At 48.9% G+C, this 27,681-nt stretch overlaps 1 protein-coding gene across 8 annotated transcripts, besides 2 other annotated features; it reads left to right on the top strand.

Annotated features, from left to right (window-relative positions):
* Positions 7,262 to 7,891: a silencer, noted in NCBI's record as "silent region_10466". NCBI's record gives its function as "represses an Ori minimal core promoter by ATAC-STARR-seq in GM12878 lymphoblastoid cells {active_cell/tissue: GM12878}" and the evidence as "EXISTENCE:reporter gene assay evidence [ECO:0000049][PMID:35858748]".
* Positions 7,808 to 20,129, top strand: CCNE1 (cyclin E1). Of its 8 annotated transcripts, none has more exons than NM_001238.4 (12): positions 7,808 to 7,969; positions 8,349 to 8,395; positions 8,506 to 8,593; positions 8,786 to 8,854; positions 12,954 to 13,099; positions 13,223 to 13,358; positions 16,519 to 16,665; positions 17,539 to 17,634; positions 17,813 to 17,947; positions 18,057 to 18,168; positions 18,263 to 18,420; positions 19,472 to 20,129. In NM_001238.4, exons 2-12 carry the CDS (start codon positions 8,373 to 8,375, stop codon positions 19,592 to 19,594), a joined length of 1,233 nt encoding a protein of 410 aa, NP_001229.1. In that variant the 5' UTR covers positions 7,808 to 7,969; positions 8,349 to 8,372; the 3' UTR covers positions 19,595 to 20,129. The 8 variants fall into 8 exon arrangements, with proteins under 8 accessions (NP_001229.1, NP_001427234.1, NP_001309188.1 ...); NM_001440305.1 differs by having other exon boundaries at positions 8,795 to 8,854; NM_001322259.2 differs by lacking the exon at positions 17,813 to 17,947.
* Positions 11,055 to 11,214: a silencer, noted in NCBI's record as "silent region_10467". NCBI's record gives its function as "represses an Ori minimal core promoter by ATAC-STARR-seq in GM12878 lymphoblastoid cells {active_cell/tissue: GM12878}" and the evidence as "EXISTENCE:reporter gene assay evidence [ECO:0000049][PMID:35858748]".
* Positions 20,130 to 27,681: the final 7,552 nt, after the last annotated feature.

A 27,681-nucleotide genomic window follows, 5' to 3' on the forward strand; every position in this document is an offset into this window, starting at 1 on the left:
TGGCTCACGCCTATAATCCCAGCACATTGGGAGGCCAAGGTGGGTGGATCGCTTGATCTCAGCAGTTTGAGACCAGCCTGGGAAACACAGTGAGACCCCGTGTCTCCCAAAAATACAAAAATTAGCCGTGCATGGTGGCACATCTGTGGTCCCAACCACTTGATGAGTGGATTGCTGGAGGTGGGAGGATGGCTAGAGCCCGGGAAGACAAGGCTGCAGTGAGCCGTGATCACACTGCTGCACTCCAGCCTGGGTGACAGAGCGAGACCCTGTCTCAAAAAAAATAAAATAAATTGTGGTAAAATATACACAACATAAAATTGACCATTTTAACCATTTTTAGGTGTACAATGCAGTGACATTAAGTACATTCATAGCGTGCAGCCCTCCCATCATCCATCCACAGAACTCTTTTCATCTTGTAAAACTGAAACTCTGTACCATTAAACGAAAACTCCTCATGTCCCTCCCCCAGCCCCCAGCAACCACCATTCAACTTTCTGTGTCTGTGAATTTGAATGCTCTAGGGACCTCCCATAAACGGAATCACAGAGTCACCTCCTTCTCTACACAGGTGGAGATCAGGGCCTCAGGCTCATGTCTTGGGCAGGCAGCAGCCTCTGCCTCCTGTTGCTGTCCTGAGTTATAAACATTTTCTTACTTCCCTTCTCTTTGTGGCTAGCAAGGCTGCTCTTCTTCCATTTATGATAATGGATTGAAATCTACTTTTCAAACAAGTGGATCTAAGTGAGAAATAGAATTCATAGTGAAAGGCTGAAGGTGGAGAGGCTCTCACAGCAGAGGAGAAAAGAGGGGAAGAAGTTGGGAGGTGGAGAAACCCTGGCCTTGGGAGTGAAGCCTCCTTTGTGTCCAGAATACCAGCGAAGGAATGCGCCCCTGACTCGGTGCACCCGGCCTCCTTGGCTTCCTATCGCCTTTCGTAGCTTTCACCTTTGCCCTCATCCATTCATCCATGCACTTATTTATTCAGCAAACTTGGCTGTCCAGAGCCTATGGTTGGCCCTGGGGAATACTCCGGCCCCCCGGCCTGGGACGCTCCCAATCTAACTCCTCTGCAAAGCCTTCTTCCGTCTCTTGTTCTGTTTGTTTAATCCTAATCCTAACCTCATCTAGGACCCTATCATGCAGACTCTGAGTCAGCTCTGAATTCCCACGTGAGGTCCCAAGGTCAGACAACGACCTTGGCCAGGTTGATATTTAAGGGAGTAAAGACATAGGGTGAGGTGGCTCCACCCAAAGAGGGCAGCCTCCTGCTGTTGCTCTGCACACGTGTGGGCTCAACTGTGCCAAATCATCCTATTGTCCCCTGAGCCAGAGGCCCTCCCGTATCCAGGAATTCACAGCTTTGCTAGCATGCTGGGCTGGCCAGTGGTGTTCCAGATGAGTCCTGCTTGGTTAGACCCCAGCTTTCCCACAGAGTGTGTGAGGTGTTCCTGGGAGCTCCTGGAGGGCAGGGCCATGTCGGTCCACTCCAGCCCACTAGAGCTTGCCCTGGGCTGGCACACAGAGGCTTCCAAGGCCACCAGGCTGAGTCATCAGTGGATTCCCATATGACTGATGTAAGCGTGTGGCCGAGGGATGATGCCAGGAGAAGTCAGGATTCCTGGGGAATTGAGACAATGAGTCTAATGTCCACTCCCATGTGCAGGCCTGGCATCTACACAACCAGGGCCAGTGGATTTCCAGACCTTCCACATGAGGGGCCAACGTGGGTCTGCAGGACTACTAGGAGGCTCACTGGTAGGCACAAATGGGCCTGCCCAGGACTAGACAAACTTTCACGGTTCATTGTCCTTTGACATCCATGACTGTCTTGGTTGCAAGTTATAAGAAGTCCAAACCCAACTGGCTACATAAAAACATGAAAATAGCGAATTGGCTCCTGTATCCAGGAAGCTTCTAGTAATCCAGTCTTGGGCTTGATTGGATCCAGAACCTCAAGGGATCAGAAGTCTGCCTCCCAGAACCTCTGGCTCTGCTTTCCAGGAAGGACTTCCCTCTACGAAAGGTCAACTTATGTGGCAAGATGGCCTCATGGCTGCAGGCCCACTTCTAGTCGGCTTAGCAACTCCTGAGGCTCGTCATTGGCCCAGCCTGGGTCATTGTGCTTATGCCTGAGCCAATCGCATGGCCAGGAATGCGGGATTCTGATTGGCCAAGGCCCCTCCCCCATTAAAGTGCAGAGAGGGTGTAGCTTGGAGGAAAATGCTGGACCCTGACAGGAAGGGAGAGGCCAGGGCCTTTGCTATCCCAGCCCGTGCTCTGTCTTGCAGCTGTGCCTGTCTTCAGAAATCCCAAAATGAGATTTAAATGAAAGCTGAGGGTATGGCAGTCAGACACAGAACAGAACACTCTTGTGTGTTAACTGGTGCTGAGAGGGTAGCTTCCTGCTGCGTATCTGCCCAGCCACCCCCACCTCCCCAACCTCATCACACACTCCCACTCTTTCAAGCATCTTCAAATTAGTCTCTGCCCTTTTTTTTTTTTTTTTTTTTTCCAGAGACAGGGGCTTGCTGTGTCACCCGGGATGGACTGCAGTGGTGAGATCACAGCTCACTGCATCCTTGACCTGCAGTGATCCTCCTGCCTTCGCCTCCAGAGTAGCTGGGACTACAGGCGTGCACCACCATGCCTGGCTTATTTTTCTATTTTTTTGTAGAGATGGGGGTCTTGCTTTGTAGCCCAGGCTGGTGTCAAACTCCTGGGCTCAAAAGATCCTCCCACTTCGGCCTCCCAAAGTGCTAGGATTACAGGTGTGAGCCACTGTGCCCACTGCCCACCCTGTCTCTACTCCTTACAACCCTGAAGTTAATACAGAATCCAAAAATGTCAGCTGCCATCATTATCCTATCATACACTAAGTTAAAAGGCCAATTTTAATTTTCCCTGGAAGTTTTCATTGGTCACAGCCTCCATCTGAAGAAGCGATGGCTAGGCTTGCTCCCCAATGTAAGAGGAGGTTAGGCCGGGACAGAAGCACCCTTTCACTGGTTTTCATCCTTCCCACCTTGGTGGCTTTACACAGCAGTGTGCGCTGGTTCTGAGCAGGAACCAAGCCTTGGGGAGCATGGGTTGGGCCCTTGCCTGGCTGGCTGGGGGGCCTGTGCAGGCAGATTGTCCCGCCCAGGGAGGACAGGAGCCAAGCCTCCAGGGCTTTCCCATGCTCACGTTCCCTGGCGCTGGGCCGCAGACACTCTGTGGTTGACAGCCTGGTCCTGTTCATCTTGCCCGGCTCCCACTTCACAGCTCACACTGGTATAGTGTGGCCCCCTCCTCTTCTAGTATTTCCATGTGTAGCCTCACAAGATAACTGGCTCATCCAGGTGGCCACAGATGTCCAGCTTGGCCCCACAGCAAGGCCTTAGCCAGCTCCACTGCCAGCCACAGCCCACACCTTCCCTGATCAACCTTTGCTAGCAGCGGGGCTCTTTAATTGTCCGCTAAGACGCCTTTGAGGACCTGGTAGAAGTTAGGCTCCAGCTGCCTGGGGAAATGCACATGGGCCCAACAGTAGGCAGGCTCCTGGGTCTCCAAAGGCTGTCCAGGGATCCCATGTTAAGGAATCCTATCTGGGAAGGACTTCCCCCTTGCAATCCCTTGGTCTTCCTTCTCCTTAACCTTTATGTCCTGGTGCCCGTCCTCCATCATCAGAGCCTGAACCATATAGGAAGCTAAGCAAATAACCCCCAAATCTCTTTATGAGTAATAACAACACAAATTGAGCAGTTACCTTGTGCCAGATACTGTTGAAAACACTTGAGGGGTATTAATACATTTACCCCTCACCGCAACCCCATGACGTTGGGACAATTAGAATTATACCCATTTTACAGATGAGAAGATTAAAGCACAGAGAGGTTGGAGAACCTTCCCAAAGTCTCATAGCAAAGGGGAGGTGTTGCCCTCCCTACACAGCAGCTGGTTCACCACCTCTGATGCAATCCACAGTCTCCCTCAAGGCTGGGCCAATGCTCGGGAGCTCTGGACTTGAGGCAAGCACAGAATGGAATGAACCCAAACACCCAAAGGTGAGCTGCCCTAGAAAGGCGGACATTGGGCCGGGTGCGGTGGCTCATGCCTATAATCCCAGTACTTTGGGAGGCCCAGGTGGGCGGATCACCTGAGGTCGGGAGTTTGAGACCAGCCTGGCCAACATGGTGAAACTCCATCTTTACTAAAAATACAAAATTAGCCAGGCATGATGGCACATGCCTGTAATCCCAGCTACTTGGTAGGCTGAGGCAGGAGAATCGCTTGAACCCAGGAGGCGGAAGTTGCAGTGAGCTGAGATCGCGCCATTGCACTCCAGCCTGAGCAAAAAGAGCAAAATTCCGTCTCAAAAAAAATAAAAATGAAAACAAAAGACATCAGTGGTTTCTGAAGACTCCAAGCTGCTGTATAGGCTGTGTCTGCCATCTTGGACACAACTTTTCTATTGTTCCTATTAAATGTGTTCATCCTTCTGGCTTACATGCCATTTTCTTCATGCAAACTTCTTGCCATCCAAGGATGGGTTGGATACATCCTTCTCCACATGAAGTCATAGCCCCAAGACTCTTCCCTTCCCAGCCCTATCATGCTACACTGCAAATGCATGACAGCCTCCCTTCCACACCGGAAGCTCCCAAGAGGGCAGGGATTGTGTCTTGCTTTGCTATGTCTTGAATTAAAAAATAATAATAATAATTATTGGCTGGGCGCAGAGGTTCACACCTGTAATCCCAGCACTTTGGGAGGCCAAGGAGGGAGAATCACTTGAGGCCAGGAGTTTGAGATCAGCCTGGCCAACATAGTGAAACACTGTCTCTATTAAAAATACAAAAATTAGCCGGGCGTGGTGGCAGGCGCCTATAATCTCAGCTACTTGGGAGGCTCAGGCAGCAGAATCGATTGAACCTGGGAGGCGGAGGTTGCAGTGAGCTGAGATAGCGTCATCACACTCCAGCCTGGGCAACAAGAGCTAAACTCCGTCTCAAATAATAATAATAATAACAACAATAATAATAAGGCCGGGCACAGTGGCTCACTCCTGAAATCCCAGCACTTTGGGAGGCCAAGGCGGGCGGATCACGAGGTCAAGAGATGGAGACCATCCTGGCCAACATGGTGAAACCCCGTCTCTACTAAAAATACAAAAATTAGCTGGGCGAGGTGGCGCATGCCTATAATCCCAGCCGCTCGGGAGACTGAGGTAGGAGAATCACTTGAACCCAGGAGGCAGAGGTTACAGTGAGCTGAGATCGCGTCATTGCACTCTAGTCTGGACGACACTCTGTCTAAAAAATAAATAATAATTATTATTATTATTTAATTTTTATTGAGTAAAAGATACATTCAGTAAAGTGCACAAATCCTAGGTGTGAACTTTTATGTATGTATCAATCAATGAGCTTTTATGTATGTATACAGTCATGAAACCACCACTCAGATCAAAGCATACATGTCTAGCCCCTAGAAGTTTCCCCTGGTCTCCTCCCGGTCATTACTCCTCACCCTAGGGGTAAATACTGTTACGGTGACTGCTGTCTTTTCTTAAACTTCAAATAAATGGAAACTTCAAATAAGTGTGTCTGGCTTCTTGGGCTCAACATGTTGTCTCTGAAATTCTCATGTTGCTGCATGATTCCTTGGTTTGTCCTTTTTATTGCTGTGTGGTATTCCATTGAATTAATATAACAACATTTATGTATCCATTCTATTCTTGATGAACATGTCAGCTAGGATGTGGAGGATTTGGGCTCTATCTTTGCTGGTGGGTGTATACATTGCTGTAATGACTAAGGAAAACTGTCTTGTCTACCATCATTATAATAACTCATTTAGTGAGCATTTACTGTGTGCCAGGTACTGTACAGGAGTCAGCTACATTATCTCAATCTTCACAATGATCCTTGGGAGTAGATAGTTGCCATCTGTGAAACAGGATAATTGTGGCATCAACATGAATAGGATTATTGTGAAGTTTAATTGAGATGATACTTTGAAGGACTTAGCCCAGTGCTGCCATTTTGGAAACACTGTTTATGATACCTGTTACTGGTGATTCCTAACGGGCACAGGATGGGGGGTTCAGGTGCCTGGGTCCCTGCTGAGCAAGTAGCCCAGCAGCCTTGGCCTCAGAGCACCTGGGGGAATCATGAATTTGTGAGCCTCTTTGATAAGACCCTGGCTCTAACTTCAAGAAAACGGTCACTAGGGGAGGGTGAGGGACAGGACTGAGACTTTAGCTTAAGAAGGGCCCTGGGAGCATTCCAGAGCCTTCTTTTACGCACATCTTCCTGAAGCTGAGTACAGAGGGTACTCTGAGGTGATGACTGTTCCTTACCTGTCTCTCTCATTAGCCGGTAAGCCCTGCAAGGGCTTGGCCAGTGCCTGTCTTTCAAATGTTCATTCAGAAACAATTTAAGTGTCTCCCTTGGTCCAGGCACTATGCCAAGAACTGACAGATACAGCAGTGAGCAAGATGGGCAAGGTGGGGAGAGAGACAAGAAACAGAGAGGCACCAAGACTGTGTAGGGGCTGGGCTCCCAGCACTTTGGGAGGCCAAGGCGGGAGGATCGCTTGAGCTCATGGGTTTGAGACCAGCCTGAGCAACATAGCAAGACCCTATCCCTACCTGCCACCCCCCACCCCCCGCCACAATAAAAAATACAAGTCTTGAGGGAGAAAGGACAGAGGAGCTGTGGAGAGGAGGCCTGAGGTCTGAGGGTGGGGGATCAGGGTCAGGTCCTGTGGAGCCTGTAGCCTAGGACACGGAGTGTGGATTTGACCCTTATGCGAAACAACTGGAAGGCTTTTTGTTTCTTTTTCTGTAGAAATGGGGGTCTCACTGTTACCCAGGCTGGTCTCGAACACCCCAAGGGATCAGCCGTCTCGGCCTCCCACAATGCTGGGATTAAAGGCGTGAGCCACCGCGCCCGGCCTCAACTGGAAGGCTTTAAGTGAGAGATGGGGTGCAAGGGAATCCCAGAGTCAGAAAGGTCTTCAGAGAGCCAGGAAGGGCTTGCGGGGGAGGGGCGCATATGGAAGGGGCGCATGGAAGGAACTCACAGATTCCTTGAATGAATGAATGAACGACCCAATGCACTGACGGATGAATGGACAGGCGGCCAGGAATAGCAGCCGGCCCCCAGGGAGCCCCAGACCCCGCGGCCTGAAGCCTTGGTTCTAGGCCAAGGCACAGGCGCGGTGACCTTGGGGATGTCCCCGCCCAGGACTCAGGGCCCGGAACTCGGCGTCTCGGGGGCGGGGAGGGCGTGCCTGGCGGGACAGCGCGCGCGGAGGAACGGCGGGCGGTGCTCCTCGGGTAGGCCCCCCACACATCCCCTTGGCTCAGCCCTGCCGGGGCCCGAACCCGCGCCGCCCGCCGTGTTTACATTCCACCCGCGCCAGCCACGCGGCTTTTTGCCGCTCCAGCGCCGCTCGGCCCCGCCCCCGGCGCCCGCGGCCCGCCCCTCGCCGCCGCGCGCCAGACTTCTCCCGCGTCCCGCCCGCCGCCCCGCCCCGCGTCCCGCGCCCCGCGCCCCGCGCCCGGCCCTCGGCGCGCAGGCCCTGTCACTTGGCCCCGCCCTGTCCGCCGGCCCCGCCCCTGATTCCCCGTCCCTGCGCCTCGCGGGCCGGCGCCGTGGAGGGGCGGGTCCGGGGGCGGGGCGAGGGACGGGGCGGGACGGGCTCTGGGTCCCGCGCGGCCGCTGAGGGGCTGGGAGCCGCGGCGGGGCGGTGCGAGGGCGGGCCGGGGCCGGTTCCGCGCGCAGGGATTTTAAATGTCCCGCTCTGAGCCGGGCGCAGGAGCAGCCGGCGCGGCCGCCAGCGCGGTGTAGGGGGCAGGCGCGGATCCCGCCACCGCCGCGCGCTCGGCCCGCCGACTCCCGGCGCCGCCGCCGCCACTGCCGTCGCCGCCGCCGCCTGCCGGGACTGGAGCGCGCCGTCCGCCGCGGACAAGACCCTGGTGAGTCTACTGCCGCGGGCTGCGGACAGGGACTCCTGGGGCCCAGACCGCGCCGGGGAGCTGGGTGGGGGCGGGGTGCGGCCGGGTCGCGGGTCCCCGGGCGGCGTCGCGGGGCGCCCGGGAGGGTGCTGAGAGCGCGGCGGGGTGGGGTGGAGGGGACACTGAGGCAGCCCGGGCCCCGGGAGGCGACGGGCCGGTGAGGGCGGCGGGGGCGGCGGGACCCCGGGTCGGGGGTCGGCGGGTGCCCGGGTCGCGGGTGACAGGCCACCCCGCCATCGGCCATCTTCCTGGCTCGCCCGGCCGCCCGCGCGCAAAGGGGGAAGGGGTACTGGGCCCGCGGCCTGACCCCGCCGCCGCCTCACCCCGCGCCGCCCCGCAGGCCTCAGGCCGGAGCAGCCCCATCATGCCGAGGGAGCGCAGGGAGCGGTGAGTGCCCGCGCCGCGGGGCCGGACGGGACGGGACGGGACGGGACGGGTGGCGTGGGGGAGGGGCGGCCGCGGGTGCTCACCCGGCCCGGTGCCACCCGGGTCCACAGGGATGCGAAGGAGCGGGACACCATGAAGGAGGACGGCGGCGCGGAGTTCTCGGCTCGCTCCAGGAAGAGGAAGGCAAACGTGACCGTTGTGAGTACAAAAGAGACAGGTTGGGGAGCATCCCCCCCATCTCACCTGGGTACCCGACTTGGCTCTGCCTACGGGGGCGGGGGTCCCTTGGGCAGGAACGGAGCTCATAACCTGATCAGCTTTCTCTTCTTCTCTCTGTTTTTGTCTTGTTTGGTGTGTTTCCTTGGGGTCATGGGGGTGGCTTCATGTTAGTTTTTGCAGGATCCAGATGAAGAAATGGCCAAAATCGACAGGACGGCGAGGGACCAGTGTGGGAGCCAGGTAGGTCCGCCCGGGGTTGGGCCTCTGTGGAGGTCCTTCTCCCCCTGGGTCACATGGGGTTTCATGCTGTCTTGTCTCTTGCTGGAGACACTCTGGTGAGAGTGAACTTCTCTAATGCAGCCACAGCCCATATGGCCCAGCACTGTACCTGTCAGTGGGCACTGGCCTCTGCCAGTCCTGGGATTCCAGGAAGCTTGGTGTTCCTGACTGGCACCGTCTGAGATTACAGATATGTGCCTAGCCTGGAAGAACCAGAATGGACATCACAGTATTCAGTCCTCCCCTTCTGCCCAGGAGGAAACTGAGACTCAGTTAGAGGAAGAAAGTAACCCAGAGTCCTGTGCCATCCAGGGGCAAAGTTGGGCTCTCGGCCTTGTCTGTAAAAGCTGGTGAACTGGGGGAGGGTTCCTGGGTGTTTATAAGCAACAACTTTCCCCCTATCTACACCTATTTTTCTTGTCATGGTGTTTAAGGACCTCCTCCGTCTTCTGTAGGTCAGATTTCAAATTCTTCTCCTCTTTCTGGCCCTGGAAGTTCTTATAGCCCCTCCAGCAATTACCTGCATTGATCCCCAGCTCAGCCTGACCTCAGCAAGAGTATCAGTGGAACATTCAGTGTAATGATAGGTGGTGTCTCAATACATTTTTTTTTGACTGCTTTTCTTTTCTCTCCTTAAGGAGTTCCTGCCAAATTTCCTGCATGCAGTGTGATAATCATTATAATATCAGAAGTTTCTTGCAGAAAAAGCTTGTACTATCTCTTTACTTTCAGAAATGGCTGGAGACTGTAGTTATGGCTCCAGTGGGGGAAGCAGCCTATCTCTAAACTAGCTGGTCAGGCCTTCTGACTCTATCACAGATAAACGCTGAACAGAAACAGTGTTCGACCTGAGTGCAGGGATCCCAGCTAGGTTAGCAGAGAAGCCCCTCACTTTGCAGAGCAGCAGCCAGGGTAGTTCATCTGGAAGCGTGAAGGGTTTCAACGCAGTGCGCCGTGTTCTAAATAGCAGTTGTCACTGCATGTAAGGTCCCCCGAAATAAGCATTTCTGAGGAGGGTCCACTGACTATTGAAGAAAGGGTTGCTGATTTCCTTTTTCATTCAAAGAAATCATTTCAGAGACGGAAATGAGACGGCATATCCCCAGTTTTTTTTTTCTTCCCTTAAAGTACATTCAAATCAAGCAAGTTGATTTTTTAGGTATTATAAAATGAATTCTGACTTTGTGAAATTCAGGACTGTTTATTTTCCCAGCTGTGTTTTGAATAGAAAAGAAACTTCCAGCTGAAGATGAAGCAGGGCCGTCCCTGTTGCATTCTTGGAGTTTTAGAAGCATGTCTGTTCTCAAGGATAGCCTGAGCAGTGACGAGGGTGCCTCCTGGGACGGATTGTGGCTCTGTCCCCTGGCCACAGTGTGGATAGCTGTGCTGCCGGAATAGCCATACCATTTCCCACTAGAAGGCATTTTCGTGGTTATCCAGAGATTAATGGCGACAGATTTCTATACGTTTTGTAGAGTAGATAGCTTAAACATTAGCTGTCTATGTATGGAGCAGTATCTTTGTTATTTCTTTGTGGAGCTTCATGAAACTAGAACTTGGGGGTACAACAGAACCTTTTTCCCTGCTCACATACAGAATTTTTCTCTGGAGTTATCATAATTCCCCCCAGTACGACAGTCTTGAGCTACTTGGAGCCATTGTGCCAAACTCTTGTGTAACTGCTTCATCGAGACCACATGGAAGCTTTTTAATTTTCATCTTAGGCTGTTCTTAATGAAAAGAATACCCTTTTATCTAAGATCTACTTAACACGTCCATTTTGTTGTTTAATTTTTTTGCACAAGACTCAATCTTTCTATTGAAGTGGAATCCTGGACTGTTACTTTTCAGAAAATAATCCTATGTAAGGAAAAAAGTGGTATGAGGAGTTGGAGTGGTTAGGAATCCCGTGGGTCTCTTATTGTTATCTCATTCTTTCCTAAATAAAGTCAGACAGATCTTGCTTTGAAACTTGGTGTACACTCAAGGACATAGACTTAATTATTCTACCTCATCCACTGGTCCCTAAAAAGGCCAACTTTGGAAACCATTTGTCTGCTGATGGTTCACCTAGTTTGGGAACTGCTGCTGGACTCATCTATGTCCAAAGGCCTGCTCTCAGATGTGCCAGCCATCTGGCTGTAGAGGGTGGCACCCAGCATTATGCCTTCAAGACTAGAATTCATTCTTCCTGAATGAAGAACAACTTACAGCGGTTGTAATGTGACCCTTTTTGAGTTAAGGAAATGCCACCCGCACATGGTACTAGAACTGAAAGGAAGCAGCCTTGCTCGCACAGCTGTTGGCAGGAGCTGTCATGGATAATTTGCATGCCCAATTCTTTGTACATTGGGTGGGGAAGAGCTTTATCTGGCTTTGCTCTTCTAACTGAAAGTGCTTGGGCTTCCTCTGAAGGCGGCCAATGTGTTGTGGTCGCCACCATGTGCTGTGTCTTCGAGGTAGCACTTACAGCCCGAGTTTCCACTTTCATTTATAGTGACCCCAGTTGTCTATTTTGTTCTTTAGTCAATGTTAATGGTCTCTGCTTTTTTTTTTTTTTTTTTGGGGGGGGGACAGAGTCTTGCTCCGTCACCCAGGCTGGAGAGCAATGGCGCGAGCTCGGCTCCCTGCAACCTCCGCCTCCCAGGTTCAAGTGATTCTCCTGCTTCAGCCTCCCGAGTAGTTGGGATTACAGGCGCCCGCTACCACACCCGGCTAATTTTTGTATTTTTAGTAGAGACGGGGTTTCACCAGGTTGGCCAGGCTGGTGGTCTCTGCTTTAAAAAAAAAAAAAAATGCCAGGTGCGGTGGCTCAGGCTTGTAATCCCAGCACTTTTGGAAGACAAGGCAGGAGGATGGCTTGAGTCCAGGAGTTCGAGACCAGCCTGGACAACATGGCAAAACCCCATCTCTACAAAAAAATACAAAAATTAGCTGGGTGTGCTCGTGCATGCCTGTAGTCCTAGCTGCTCAGGAGGCTGAGGCAGGAGGATCGCTTGACCCCAGGAGGCAGAGGTTGTAGTGAGCTGAGATTACACCACTGCACTCCAGCCTGGGGAACAGAGGGAGACCCTCTCTCAAAAAAAAAAAAAAAAAAGCCAAGTCTCAGACTTTCATATGGCTTCCATGCTAGTAGGATTGTTACCTGCCTAATATCTTTAGCAAAGTTACTATTTTATAACTTTAAAAATCAAACAGACTTCTTAGAGTAGGAATAGCTTTAAAAATGAAAATATTCTAAATGGACTTTAGTGTTTTTCAGATATTGAAAATTGAATACATATCTGAAACCTTTAAAAGAAAAGCATAGTGCTTTGGTTTCTAATAGTTCCTTATTTTATCAGGTATTTGAATTACCCTGCAAGACTCAGGAGATTCAGAGGTCTTAAGGAGTGTCTAGGCTAGCTTCCTGTAGACTTCATAGTATGACCTGTGACCATCACTTGATTTGGTTTTAACTAGGTGGATGTTCATTCTGTTTGTTTCGAGTTAAGGAAAAGAAAAAGTCCTTTATTATTTAACATATTTGGCTAGTCCTGCAACAAAAAGAAAATGTCACATTTGATGAGTTTTTGTTTTAAACTGAGGGGACTTTAATACATATGGCAGCCAAATTTACATTTTTGATCTTTTTTTTATTATACTTTTAAGTTTTAGGGTACATGTGCACAACGTGCAGGTTAGTTACATATGTATACATGTGCCATGTTGGTGTGCTGCACCCATTAACTCATCATTTAACCTTAGGTATATCTCCTAATGCTATCCCTCCCCCCTCCCCCCCATTTTTGATCTTTTATACTAATGAATGTGAAGTGCTTATGTAAATATTTTTATTGACAGTTCTGTTTTACTTTTAAGAAATTTTAGTAGATGCATTGTACTCATTAAAAAAATCTTTGAGTTGTGACAAAAAATATCATAATGTATCTTTTTGGAAGCACTTTCAGAAGTCATGCCTAGTATCTTACTGAGTTGCAGGTGAATTTGTAATGTTTTTGGGTAATGTAAGAGCTGTTTGCATCTTATCTCACCTCTCCTGTGTATTTTTCATTTACAGCCTTGGGACAATAATGCAGTCTGTGCAGACCCCTGCTCCCTGATCCCCACACCTGACAAAGAAGATGATGACCGGGTTTACCCAAACTCAACGTGCAAGCCTCGGATTATTGCACCATCCAGAGGCTCCCCGCTGCCTGTACTGAGGTCAGTGCCGACTCTGCCACATGGCTTCCAGGTCTCTTACTCCATGCTCCCCTTTATCCCTCATAGCATGGACGCATTCTTACCCCTTTGTGGGCCTCATTTTTGTTGTGTGTTTTGTTGTAGCTGGGCAAATAGAGAGGAAGTCTGGAAAATCATGTTAAACAAGGAAAAGACATACTTAAGGGATCAGCACTTTCTTGAGCAACACCCTCTTCTGCAGCCAAAAATGCGAGCAATTCTTCTGGATTGGTTAATGGAGGTGAGCTTGAGTCTTCCTGTTCGCTTCATGAAAGCACTGAGCATTTCCAGCATTTTTGTGTATTAGGACCTCTGTGTGGTTTATTCCCTCGACATGTTCTCCATCTCTGAAGCTATATGGTATATTTTTACTGTGGTGGTCTTTCTGTTTTGCTTGTATTCTTAGCAAGAATTTCTGAAATCTTTTTATCCTTCAGATGTTTTAAAATTGGCATCTAATTTTTTCCATCCAAGTTTAAATAATTGTTAAGATTGTATTTTCCAGTAAATTGTAACTGTTAACATTTGAGCTTTGTTCATTATGTTCATTAAATTGCTTTTTTTTTTTTTTTTTTTTTGAGATGGAGTCTTGCTTTGTCACCCAGGCTGGAGTGCAGTGGCACAATCTCAGCTCACTGCAACCTCTGCCTCACGGGTTCAAGTGACTTTCCTGGCCTCAGCCTCCTGAGTAGCTGGGATTACAGGCGCACGCCATCACGCCCAGTATTTTTTTTTTTTTTTTTTGAGACGGAGTCTTGCTCTGTCACCCAGGCTAGAGTGCAGTGGTGCGATCTCAGCTTACTGCAAGCTCCTCCTCCCGGGTTCATGCCATTCTCCTGCCTCAGCCTCCCGAGTAGCTGGGACTACAGGCGCCCGCCACCACGTCTGGCTAATTTTTTGTATTTTTAGTAGAAATGGGGTTTCACCGTGTTAGCCAGGATGGTCTCGATCTCCTGACCTCGTGGTTTGCCCGCCTTGGCCTCCCAAAGTGCTGAGATTACAGGCGTGAGCCACCGCACCCTGCCTAATTTTTGTATTTTTAGAAGAAACGGGGTTTCACCATGTTGGCCAGGCTGGTCTTGAACTCCTGACCTTGTGATCCACCCACCTCGGCCTCCCAGAATGCTGGGATTACAGGTGTGAGCCACCATGCCCAGCTAAATTGCTTTTAAATGTATTCACTGGGATGCATATATCACCTGTTTTATAGCTACTGTCATAAATTGTAAACATATATGAACAAGCTTATCTTAAACAGGTCTGACATTGCTCCTTTTTAACTTCTTGGAATCCATTCCCTTTTCCACCATTCCCATTTATTCTAATAAAATATATTGTTCAAATCCTGGCTGGGCACAGTGGCTCATGTCTGTAATCCCAGCACTTTGGAAGGCCAAGGCAGAAGGATCCCTTGAGCCCAGGAGTTAGAGACTAGCCTGGGCAACATAGCGAGACCCCATGTCTTTTTTTTTTTTTTTTGAGACGGAGTTTCGCTCTTGTTGCCCAGGCTGGCATGCAATGGTGTGATCTTGGCTCACCACAACCTCTGCCTCCCGGGTTCAAGCGATTTTCTTGCCTCAGGCTCCCGAGTAGCTGGGATTACAGGCATACGCCACCACGCCCGGCTAATTTTGTATTTTTAGTAGAGACGGGGTTTCCTCCATGTTGGTCAGGCTGGTCTTGAAGTCCCGACCTCAGGTGATCCGCCCGCCTTGGCCTCCCAAAGTGCTGGGATTACAGGCGTGAGCCACTGCGCCTGGCCCTTGAGACCCCATTTCAACAAAAAATAAAAAATTGTCAGGGTATAGTGGCTCAGGCTTGTAGTCACAACTACTGGGGAGGCTGAAGTGGGAGGATTGCTTGAGCCTGGGAGTTGGAGCTTGCAGTGAGCTGTGATAGCGCCACTGCACTCCAGCCTAGGTGACCATGAGACTCTGTCTCAATTTTTTTTTTAAGCATATTTTTAAAGATATTTGGACCATTGGAGTGGCTTCTGTGTTTTGAGACAGAGTTGCTCTGTCACCCAAGCTGGAGTGTAGTGGTGCAGTCACGGCTCACTGCAGGCTCCAATTCCTGGGCTCAAGCAGTCCTCCCACCTCAGCCTCCGCAGTCCTTGGGACTACAGGCATGAGCCACTACTCCCTGCCGATTTTTTATTTTTTGTTGAGTTGGGGTCTTGCTATGTTGCCCCGGCTGGTCTCCAACTCCTGGGATCAAGGGATCCCCATGCCTTGGCCTCCCAAAGTGCTGGGATTGCAGGTGTGAGCTACAGCACCCAACTCAAATCTTTTCTTGGTCCACACTATTTTATTTCTCTTTAACAGTTAATCAAAAGAACAAGTATAACAACATTTGATAGATAATGGTTAAACATAAAAGATGAGATTTTATTGGTTGTATATCTTACTGGGATGAACTGCGGTAGCTTATAGTTTCTTGATTAAGGGAAGCTTCCTAGACAACCTTGTAAGACTTGAATGGGTGAGAAGTGGGCTTTTCTTCTGAAGTGGAAGGACATCTCAGGCAGACCTGCTTCATGAAAACATGTAGAAGTTGAGTGTGTAACTACAGAAGTACCCCTCATCCTCGGGGGTACATCCCAAGACCCGCAGGAGATGCCTGAAGCCACAGATAGTACTGAGCTCTAGATATGCCATGTTTTTAATCCTCTACTTTCATGTTTTCACTTAAAGAAAGCACTTCACGGCTTCTCTTTGGCATTTCCAAATAGCCAGCATCACTACTCTTGCCCTGTGGGGCCATTATTCAGTCAAATAAGGGCTGCTTGCTTGAACACCAGCACTGCTGTGCTGTGACAGTCCATCTGATGACCTGTGTGCTAGTGAGTGACTAACAGGCAGGTGGCCTACTCCACGGGGATGTGCGGGCAAGGGGATGATTCACATCCTAGGCAGGTGAGGGTGGGACAGGCCAGAAGGGCCCCTCATTTAAAACCTATCAGTTGTTAGGCTGGGCACAGTGGCTCATCCCTATAATCCCAGCACTTTGGGAGGCCGAAGCAGGTGGATCACTTGAGGCCGGGAGTTCAAAACCAGCCTGGCCAACGTGGTGAAATACCATTTCTACTAAAAATACAAAAATTAGCTGGGCATGGTGGCGGGTGCTGGTAATTCCAGCTACTCGGGAGGCTGAAGCAAGAGAATCGCTTGAGCCTGGAAGTTGGAGGTTGCAGTGAACCAAGATCACAACACTACTTTCCAGACTGGGTGACAGAATAAGGCACCTCAAAAAAAAAACAAAAAAACAAAAAACTATCAATTGTTGAGTTCAGGAACTTTGCATTTTATATTTTCCTTCACCAAAGTCATTACAAGTTTTTTTTTTTTCCCCTCCCTCAAGTAAAACTTACTTGTGCTAAAACTTACTAAATATGTTTTCAGGTGTGTGAAGTCTATAAACTTCACAGGGAGACCTTTTACTTGGCACAAGATTTCTTTGACCGGTATATGGCGACACAAGAAAATGTTGTAAAAACTCTTTTACAGCTTATTGGGATTTCATCTTTATTTATTGCAGCCAAACTTGAGGTAAATAATTTTCAAATATTTGTTCTATAATGTGTGTTATTTCTCGAGCTCCACTGAGATTGGGGGAAGAGGTTGGCGCTTAGCCTATAGCACTCATCCTAAATTTTTCTGATTTGCTACCCTGTAAAGTTAAGACACATGCCAAAAAGAAAAAAAGGCTGGAAAGTGACCAGGAAGAGAAAAGTAGTGAGGGTATGGAAGACCTAGGTTCATGTAGTTACATTGAGCCAAAAAAAAAAATGAACTTTGAACTAAGATAATAATTTTGGGCCCGGGTTGGTGGCTCAAGCCTATAATCCCAGCACTTTGGGAGGCCAAGGCAGCTGGGTCACTTGAGGCCAGTAGTTTGAGACATGGTGAAATACCATTTGTACTAAAAATACAAAAAATTAGCCAGGCGTGGTGGCACGTGCCTGTAATCCCAGCTATTCGGGAGGCTGAGGCAAGAGAATTGCTGGAGCCCAGGTGGCCGAGGTTGCAGTGAGTCGAGATCCTACCACTGCACTCCAGCCTGGGCAACAGAGGGAAATTCTGTCTAAAAGAAAAAAGAAAAGATTAAAAATTTGTGTATGATTATCAAAGGGTATATGGGCCCAACTTTCAAATGTGTTAAAGGTACTGAAAAGGGGATATTTCAAGAGTACCCACAATGAGTCAAAGTTCCATCCATTTATTTAATGGTGGGTGGGAGTTGTGTTCTTTTTTTTTTTTTTTTTTTTTTTTACAACCATTGGTGTGGCTTCTGTGTTAATTCCATCAGTGCGCCCTCTCTCTTTCCATGCCAGGGTACTGAGAAGTCATTTTGGATGCATTATAAATTGAGACTGTTAGAGATTGGCTTTGGTGCTAGTGCCATCTTTTATTTCCTTTCAGGAAATCTATCCTCCAAAGTTGCACCAGTTTGCGTATGTGACAGATGGAGCTTGTTCAGGAGATGAAATTCTCACCATGGAATTAATGATTATGAAGGTGGGTTCCAGTGAATTTTCCGGCCATTTTTTAAATGCGTACGGCAGATCTTTTCCACCTGAAGTGTGAGTGCCTCTGGGAGGTGTTCTCCAGCTGGACACATTGTGGCATGGAACATGGCTGCATTTTGAACTTCTTTTCTCAATCATCGGTCTCTTTTCTCTCTGTTTTCCTTTAGGCCCTTAAGTGGCGTTTAAGTCCCCTGACTATTGTGTCCTGGCTGAATGTATACATGCAGGTTGCATATCTAAATGACTTACATGAAGTGCTACTGCCGCAGTATCCCCAGCAAATCTTTATACAGATTGCAGAGGTAAGTGGCTCCATCACGTCCGTGGGGCCACCTTCCCTGCAGCTGGAGTGAGGAACTCTAGAATAGGCGTGTGGTGGCATCCATCTCAGCGTTCTTTTCTTCTCCGTAGCTGTTGGATCTCTGTGTCCTGGATGTTGACTGCCTTGAATTTCCTTATGGTATACTTGCTGCTTCGGCCTTGTATCATTTCTCGTCATCTGAATTGATGCAAAAGGTTTCAGGTAAGTTGGCTTTCCAGTGCATGCACAAACAAGGTGTACTAAGCTTACATCCAGTTGTCAGCCTCAGATTAAGCCCACGATGTCTTCACTGCAGGGTATCAGTGGTGCGACATAGAGAACTGTGTCAAGTGGATGGTTCCATTTGCCATGGTTATAAGGGAGACGGGGAGCTCAAAACTGAAGCACTTCAGGGGCGTCGCTGATGAAGATGCACACAACATACAGACCCACAGAGACAGCTTGGATTTGCTGGTCAGTGCTGCTCCTTCTTTCAGTCCTTCTTGGCCAAATTCTTAAAACTGCCTAAATAGGCCAGCCGCGGTGGTTCAGGCCTGTAAACCCAGCACTTTGGGAGGCCGAGGTGGGCCGATCACTTGAGGCCAGGAGTTCAAGACCAGCCTGGCCAACATGGTGAAACCTTGTCTCTACTAAAAATAAAAAAATTAGCCGGCTATGGTGGTGGGCACCTGTAGTCCCAGCTACTCGAGAGGCTAAGGCAGGAGAATCATCTGAACCCGGGAGGCGGAGGTTGCAGTGCGTTGAGATCACGCCACTGCACTCCAGCCTGGGCAACAGAGCGAAACTATGTCTCAAAAAAAAAAAAACTGCCTAAATAACCTGTTCACTTTTCTTCAGGCAGGCCCCAAATATCCTTGAAAAACTCCAATTTTAATTAATTGAAAAAGAAAAATCCTGGCAAATTGATGCTGTATCTCACTATCATATAGACTATAGAGTTTTAAAGTGCTCTTTGATATTTTTTTTTCTTTCACTCACCTCCGTAGAAAAAGACATAGTGGCCAGACACAGTGGCTTTTGGAGGCCAAGGCAGAAGGACTGCTTAAGCTCAGAAGTTTGAGACTAGCCTGGACAACATAGGGAGACCCTGTCCCTAAAAAATTTAAAAACTAGCCAGGCATGGTGGCACATGTCTGTAGTCCCAGCACTTTGGGAGGCGGAGGCGGGCAGATCGCCTGATATCAGGAGTTCAAGACTAGCCAGGCCAAAATGGCGAAACCCTGTCTCTATGAAAAATACAAAAATTAGCTGGACATGGTGGCGGGTGCCTATAATCTCAGCTACTCTACTTGGGAGGCTGAGGCGGGAGAATCGGTTGAACCCTGGAAGTGGAAGTTGCAGTAAGCCGAGATCCCACCACTGTACTACAGTCTGGATGAGAAAGCAAGTCTCCATCTTGAGAAAAAAAAAAAATTTAAAAATTAAAAAAGAAAAAGCCTATGGTAATTGAAGCCCAAGGATATGTTCTACTCTAATGTGTTGTCCCTTTTATTCTTACCAACAGGACAAAGCCCGAGCAAAGAAAGCCATGTTGTCTGAACAAAATAGGGCTTCTCCTCTCCCCAGTGGGCTCCTCACCCCGCCACAGAGCGGTAAGAAGCAGAGCAGCGGGCCGGAAATGGCGTGACCACCCCATCCTTCTCCACCAAAGACAGTTGCGCGCCTGCTCCACGTTCTCTTCTGTCTGTTGCAGCGGAGGCGTGCGTTTGCTTTTACAGATATCTGAATGGAAGAGTGTTTCTTCCACAACAGAAGTATTTCTGTGGATGGCATCAAACAGGGCAAAGTGTTTTTTATTGAATGCTTATAGGTTTTTTTTAAATAAGTGGGTCAAGTACACCAGCCACCTCCAGACACCAGTGCGTGCTCCCGATGCTGCTATGGAAGGTGCTACTTGACCTAAGGGACTCCCACAACAACAAAAGCTTGAAGCTGTGGAGGGCCACGGTGGCGTGGCTCTCCTCGCAGGTGTTCTGGGCTCCGTTGTACCAAGTGGAGCAGGTGGTTGCGGGCAAGCGTTGTGCAGAGCCCATAGCCAGCTGGGCAGGGGGCTGCCCTCTCCACATTATCAGTTGACAGTGTACAATGCCTTTGATGAACTGTTTTGTAAGTGCTGCTATATCTATCCATTTTTTAATAAAGATAATACTGTTTTTGAGACAGCTGGTTTTATGAGCTATGTCTGGTAACTTAAGGTAGCAGTCAGCTTTAATTGTGGTTATATCAACTTCTGTTTTTTGACTTCATACTTCTTGAGGCTCAAGTCTTTCTTTTTTTTTTTTTTTTTTTTTTTTTTTTTTGAGACAGGGACAGGGTCTCGCTCTGTCACCAAGGCTGGAGTGCAGGGGCACAATCTTGGCTCACTGCAGCCTCTGCCTCCCGGGTTTAAGCGATTCTCCTGCCTCAGCCTCCTAAGTAGCTGGGACTACAGGCGTGTGCCACCACACCCAGCTAATTTTTGTATTTTTAGTGGAGATGGGGTTTTGCCATGTTGGCCAGGCTGGTCTCAAACTCCTGACCTCAGGTGATCTGCCCATCTCAGCCTTCCAAAGTGCTGGGATTACAGGTGTGAGCCACCACACCCAGCCTTGAGTCTTAACTCTTTTGGTCAAATACATTTTTCAATGTATTTGATGGAAAGGAAACTTTAGACGTGGGCTTCAGGTGCAGCCTGTCTGCCTCCTGGTGCCCCCTGAGCTGGAAGTGAGGAGTCCACCTGGTATTTGTCTCACCACGCCCTGCACTGGTGGCTGCTCACACCAGGTTTGTTGGCCATCAGTAGTAGTAGTGATGAGGTAATGTCCACACCGAAGAGGATTCCTAGGTGTAACTTCCTTCCTAGGACTGGTTAAAGGCCATAAGGAATCTGGAATTAGCATGATTTAATGCTTTTTTTTTTTTCCCCTTACCGAAATCTTAGCCTAAAGAATAAGTGAATTTTTATTTGGAGAACTTTTAACATAGTAGCCTAAAACTGCTTTTAAGAAGAAAATGAGGCTGGGTGCGGTGGCTCATGCCTGTAATCCTAGCACTTTGGGAGGCCAAGGTGGGCGGATCACAAGGTCAGGAAATCGAGACCATCCTGGCTAACAGTGAAACTCCGTCTCTACTAAAAATAGAAAAATTAGCCAGGCATGGTGGCGGGCACCTGTAGTCCCAGCTACCTAGGAGGCTGAGGCAGGAGAATGGCATGAACCCAGGAGGCGGAGCTTGCAGTGTGCTGAGATCGCGCCACCACTCCAGCCTGGGCAACAGAGCGAGACTGTCTCAAAAAAAAAAAAAAGGAAAAGAAGAAAATGTGGCTGGGCGTGTGGCTCACGCTTGTAATCCTAGCACTTTGGGAGGCTGAGTTGGGCAGATCACTTGAGGTCAGGAGTTGGAGACCAGCCTACCCAACATGGTGAAACCCCATCTGTAGTAAAAATGCAAAAATTAAGGCTGGGCATGGTGGTTCACGCCTGTAATCCCAGCACTTTGGGACCCAAGGCAGGCAGATCACCTGAGGTTGGGAATTCAAGACCAGCCTGACCAACATGGAAAAACCCCATCTCTACTAAAAATACAAAATTAGCTGGGTGTAGTGGCACATGTTTATAATCCCAGCTACTCGGGAGGCTGAGGCAGGAGAATCCCTTGAACCCGGGAGGCAGAGGTTGCAGTGAGCCGAGATTGCACCACTGCACTCCAGCCTGGGCAACAAGAGCAAAACTCCATCTCAAAAAAAAAGAAAAGAAAAGAAAATTAGCCAGGCGTGGTGGCACACATCTGTAATCCCAGCTAGTGGGGTGGCTGAGGCAGGAGAATCACTTGAACCAGGAGGCAGCAGTTGCAGTGAGCCGAGATCGTGCCACTGCACTCCAGCCTGGGTGACGGAGTGAGACTCTATCTCATAAAAAAAAAAAAAAAAAAAAAAAGTCAGGGCGCAGTGGCTCACGCCTGTAATCCCAGCACTTTGGGAGGCCGAGGTGGGCGGATCACCTGAGGTTGGGAGTACAAAACAAGCCTGACCAACATGGAGAAACCCCATTTCTACTAAAAATACAAAAAAAAAAAAAAAAATTAGCCAGGTGTGGTGGCACATGCTTATAATCCTAGCTACTCGTGAGGCTGAGGCAGGAGAATCGCTTGAATCTGGGAGGCGGAGGTTGCGGTGAGCTGAGATCGCATCATTGCACTCCAGTCTGGGCAACAAGAGCAAAACTCCATCTCAAAAAAAAAAAAAAAAATGCGAAGTAGAGTCATATGTCAGCTGAGCGCATGATGCAGCCTGTTCGCTGAGCACTGATGGAGTCACCAAGTGCCTTGCTAATCATTGCTGCCCACTTACAGGCCTCGTGTACAGCTCATGTGACCTTTGTTTTTGTACTTTTAGTAGAGACGGCGGTTCACCATGTTGGCCAGGCTGGTCTCGAACTCCTGACCTCGTGATCTGCCCACCTCAGCCTCCCAAAGTGTTGGGATTACAGGCGTGAGCCACCACGTCTGGCCGCTCACATGATTTTTTTTTTTTTTTTTTTTTTTTTTGAGAGGGAGTCTCGCTCTGTCACCTAGGCTGGAGTGCAGTGGCACAATCTTGGCTCACCGCAACCTCCACCTTCCCCCTGTTCAAGATTCTCCCACCTAAGTCTCCCAAGTAGCTGAGATTACAGGTGCCCGCCACCACACCCGGCTGATTTTTGTATTTTTAGTAGAGATGGGGTTTCATCATGTTGGCCAGGCTGGTCTTGAACTCCTGACCTCAGGTGATCTGCCTGCCTCGGCCTCCCAAAGTGCTGGGATTGCAGGCGTGAGCCACCGCATCCGGCCACTCACATGACTTTTTACTGAACATTCTTCAAATGGTGGTCTTTTGGAGTCTTGTGTTTGACTAACAGTGCTTCATCACGTGTGCTAGTGCATACAAGGAAGGGTGAATGAACAAATAAATACTGCTTATTTTCAACTTGGTATTTTATCTCATTTGGCAAAAATCTAAAGAAAAAAGCAGCCATTTGAAATTCGTAACCATACGCAGTGAGCCAAGATGGCACCATGGCAGTACAGTCTGGGCGACAGAGCAAGATTCCATCTCAAAAAGAATAAAATAAAATCTGTAACCATATTTGTATGAAGTTGGAGAGACTTTACTTTTGACATTGATGTAGTTCTGGCAGATTTTTTTTTTTTTTTTTTTTTTTGAGACGGAGTCTCGCTCTGTTGCCAGGCTGAAGTGCAGTGGCACAATCTCGGCTCACTGCAACCTCCACCTACCAAGTTCAAGGCATTCTCCAGCCTCAGCCTCCTGAGTAGGTGGGACTACAGGCAGGCGCCACCACACCCAGCTGATTTTGTATTTTTAGTAGAGACGGGGTTTCTCCATGTTGGCCAGGCTGGTCTCGAACTCCTGACCTCAGGTGATCCTCCCTCCTCGGCCTCCCAAAGTGATGGGATTACAGGCATGAGCAATTGCGCCGGCTTTTCTGGCAAGTTTTATTTATTTATTTATTTATTTTTATTTTATTTTATTTTTTTGAGATGGAGTCTCACTTTGTCACCCAGGTTGGAGGGCAATGGCGCGATCTCAGCTCACTGTAACTTCTGCCTCCTGGGTTCAAGCAATTCTCCTGCCTCAGCCTCCTGAGTAGCTGGGACTACAGGCGCGTACCACCACACCCGGCTAATTTTTGTATTTTTAGTAAAGACGGGGTTTCACCATGTTGGCCAGGCTGGTCTCGAACTCCTGACCTTGTGATCCGCCCGCCTCAGCCTCCCAAAGTGCTGGGATTACAGGTGTGAGCCACCGCACCCGGCCCTCTGGCAAGTTTTAATACTACAGTTATCCTAATAAACGCATTGTAAATCTACATGTAATGGTATTTAGTCAAATGATAGGACTAGCCAGTTATTTCTTCACTTTAGGCAGAGATGTTCTAGTCTTAAAAAGCAGTGAGTTTTTGGCTGGGCGTGGTGGCTCACACCTGTAATCCCCACACTTTGGGAGGCTGAGTTGGGCAGATCACTTAAAGCCAGGAGCTTGAGACAAGCCTTATCTGCAACCTTTGCTTCCCAGGTTCAAGTGATTATCCTGCCTCAGCCTCCTGAGAAGCTGGGATTACAGGCACCTGCCCATGCCCGGCTAATTTTTTTTTGTATTTTTAGTAGAGACGGGGTTTCACCATGTTGGCCAGGCTGGTCTCGAACTCCAGACCTTGGGTAATCCACCTACCTCAGCCTCCCAGAGTGCTGGGATTACAGGCGTAAGCCACCTTGCCCGGCCTACATTTAGCATTTTCTTTTTTTTTTTTTTTTTTGGAGATGGAGTCTCACTCTGTCACCCAGGCTGGAGTGCAGTGGCATGATCTCGGCTCACTGCAACCTCCGCCTCCCAGGTTCAAGCGATTCTCCTGCCTTAGCCTCCCGAGTAGCTGAGACTACAGGCACCCACCACCACGCCCTGCTGATTTTTGTAGTTTTAGTAGAGAGGGGGTTTCACCATGTTGGCCAGGCTGGTCTCGAACTCCTGACCTCAGGTGATCCACCTGCCTTGGCCTCCCAAAGTGCTGGGATTACAGGTGTGAGCCAGTGTGCCCGGCCTACATTTGGCATTTTGTAAGCAAAAAGATGGCACTAAAAAATTTCTATTTCCAAAGTTTCATAAATTTGAGAGCTTGACACATTGAGGTAACAGCAAATTTGAAAGTACGTTTGAGGCTAGGCACAATGGCTGAGGCCTGTAATCCCAGCATTTAGGGAGATTCGAGGTGGGAGGATCACTTGAAGTCAGGAGATCAAGACCAGCTTGGCCAACATGGTGAAACCTCATTTCTACTAAAGTACAAAAAATTAGCCAGGTGTCGTGCTGGGCGCCTGCAGTCCCAGCTACTCAGGAGGCTGAGGCAGGAGAATCGCTTGAACCCAGTAGGCAGACGTTGTGGTGAGCTGAGATCATGCCACTGCACTCCAGCCTGGGTGACACCTAAAAAAAAACAAACACATTTGAGGTAAATATTAATTCATAGGTCATTTAGCCACCCACCGTATTAGAGAGGGTGCTAGAATATGCTGAAATAAGAATGCCTTATATGTAACTTGTTGGAATGCTGTGTTTCTGGAAGTCAAAGCTTTTTAAGTGGCAGTGTTGTCACAGGCAGCTCTTAATTATTGGTGCTAATAAAGGCTAAGTCCTGAATGGGTAAATGACATCCATATTAATCAATCATGTCTATACTCAGGAACCCTAAGAGCTGCTAGTAAGTAGAAATCAAAATTCCCCTGTAAGAGGAGCTTTTTCCACTTGCTAGTAATCCCTGCTTTGGCCTCTCTCTCATTGGCTGCAAATACCCCTTGACCAAGTCGCTTATGTTCTGCTATTCAGCTAAAGCCAGATGAGGCCACAAGAGACACTGGGGTGAAAATGGCAGCTCAGTCAACTTGGGTGAACAGATGTCCTGAGGAGATGTGTTAGCAAGAAGGACCAGAGAAAGGAGGTGATGTGGCCCCTGATCTAACTCTCGGGTTAGAGATGGAGAAAAAGCGAGTGATTCACCAACCCTGGAGACCCTGAACTGTGGTTGAGCAGACCATATCCTCATATCCCGCCTCAGCTCACAGAATTCACTTGCGGCCAGGCACAGTGGCTTATGCCTCTAGTCCCAGCACTTTGGGAGGCCAAGGTGGGCAGATTGCCTGAGCTCAGGAGTTCAAGACCGGCCTGGGCAATATGGCAAAACTCCATCTCTACAAAAAATTTAAAAATTTAAATTTTTTTGTGGTGGCGCATGCCTGTAGTACCAGCTACCCAGGAGGCTGAGATGGGAGAATCACCTGAGCCTGGGAGGCCGAGGCTGCAGTGAGCCATGACTGTGCCACTGCACTCCAGCCTAAGCGTCAGAGTGAGACCCTGTCTCCCAAAAAAGAATTCACTTGCTAGAGTCCGCCAGAGTTGTTGTCATTTCTCTGCCCACTGTGCCTGACGACAACAACAACAAAAAAACCCTGGTCCTCAGGTGGTGGGAGTCAAGGGTTTTCCAATGCCGTCTTCCCTGTGTGGAACACGGACAGCTTACTCTTTCATGATGGTTATTTGGTACCATGTGATAAATACATGATGCAGAGGTTCACACTGACTTTTAGTTTCTAAGGCAGGTAGAGCCATGGAGCCCTTTAAGATTCAGAGCATGGCACCCAATACGTGTCCATCCTCTAACTCAGACACAAACGAGATTGGAGTTTATTTGGGCAAAATTAGGCTCTAGCTCTGAGCAGGGCTAGAGAGAGAAATCAAATCTGATAATGTCTAGTCATATTTACCCAACCGTGCATTTTCCTACCACATGTTCCACATTTTGAAATTCAAATCACATTTATACCTTGGACATTGTTAGAAGACTATTTTTATCCCTGCTGTAATCATCTAATTTGCTGATTACAGGTCTCAAATTGCCACAGAGAACTCAATTTTTGAAAGAATTGTCCTGTTTGATCAAATATGTTATTCAAGCAATGCAGTCATTTGTTCCACAAGTTTACCTGCCAGGTAGAGTTAACCAGGAGTAATAGCATTAGAAGCCTATACTTAAAATCAAGCATTAGCTAATCCGCCTGCGACAATAGAGTCTTAAATATAATTTGCTGCAGATACTTCAGTTCCTGCACCGACAGACAATTGCAGTCTGTATCCAATGAGCACAGATTTTTTCCTACCTCGTCCCAATTCCAAATTTAACTTCAGAAGACTCTAATGTACTCAGTTGCATAGGCTTACCAGGTACTCTTTCCTGGGAGCCTCACATGGGAGGGCAACACTATCCTTTATTCAATAAACAGCATCCCCCACCTTTTAAATCATTTTCCTGATCAATGCCAATTCCAAAAGTTGTGTGGTATCTGATTATGCAGTGCGGTTCAAGTCAAATGCTGGCTTCCTTGGGGTTGGTGAGTGAGGTGCCCTCGATGGAGTCCCTGCTAAGTGTACACTGCCAGTCCTGGAGACATGAACTCAAGGGAGCCTGGGAGACCGGGGAAGCCCTGGAGTCCCCGGAGGGCACTGGTATGAAATGAAAAGGTGGCACTCTAGGAGCAGAGCAGCAGCAGGACTCAAGCTCGGGAGGTGGGGCTGTGGAATGCTCTCCAGCAGTCACAAAAGCCCTCACAAATAGGGTAGAGGAAGGCCACATCACAAGGGGCTTTTGCCGTCAACTAAGATGGGTGTGGTCTCCCCCGCAGCAGGAAGCCGGTGTTTGTAAGACAGGAGTGACTTGCTCAGAGCCGGTTTGGAGGAAGAGGTTGATGAACAAGTACAGAGTTATGTGTCTTTGTGCCGTAAGAAAATGACTGTGCAAGTCGGGCGTGGTGGTGTGCACCTGTAATCCCAGCTATTGGGAGGCTGAGATGGGAAGTATCGCTTGAGCCCAGGGGTTTGAGGCTGCAGTGAGGCATGATCACACCACTGTACTCCAGCCTGTGCAACAGAACGAGACCCTATCTCAAAACAAACAAACAAAAAATCAAAAAAGAAAATGAAAATGAGTGTGTAGTGTGTGGAGGACAAGCAGGCAGGCAATGAGGACATTCGTAAAATCAGCTGCATCACCATCATTTCTAAATGGCGCTGCCTGCATATCTCCCCAGGCCCCCGTGATTCTGCTCCTGTGCCCCTGCCCAGGCCTCTGCCTACAGTGGCTGGACCCCACCTCCTGCAGGAGTGCACCCCTGACGTTGGCCCACACTGATGTC

Source organism: Homo sapiens, chromosome 19, assembly GCF_000001405.40.
Source record: "Homo sapiens chromosome 19, GRCh38.p14 Primary Assembly".
Taxonomy (NCBI): domain Eukaryota; kingdom Metazoa; phylum Chordata; class Mammalia; order Primates; family Hominidae; genus Homo; species Homo sapiens.

Excerpts from the sequence above, each read along its gene's own strand:
- CCNE1 (NM_001238.4), top strand. The coding sequence starts at position 8,373 with ATGCCGAGGGAGCGCAGGGAGCG. Across the intron at positions 16,666-17,538 it reads TTATTGCAGCCAAACTTGAG|GAAATCTATCCTCCAAAGTT; the intron begins GTAAATAATTTT and ends ATTTCCTTTCAG. Across the intron at positions 18,421-19,471 it reads GAGACAGCTTGGATTTGCTG|GACAAAGCCCGAGCAAAGAA; the intron begins GTCAGTGCTGCT and ends TCTTACCAACAG.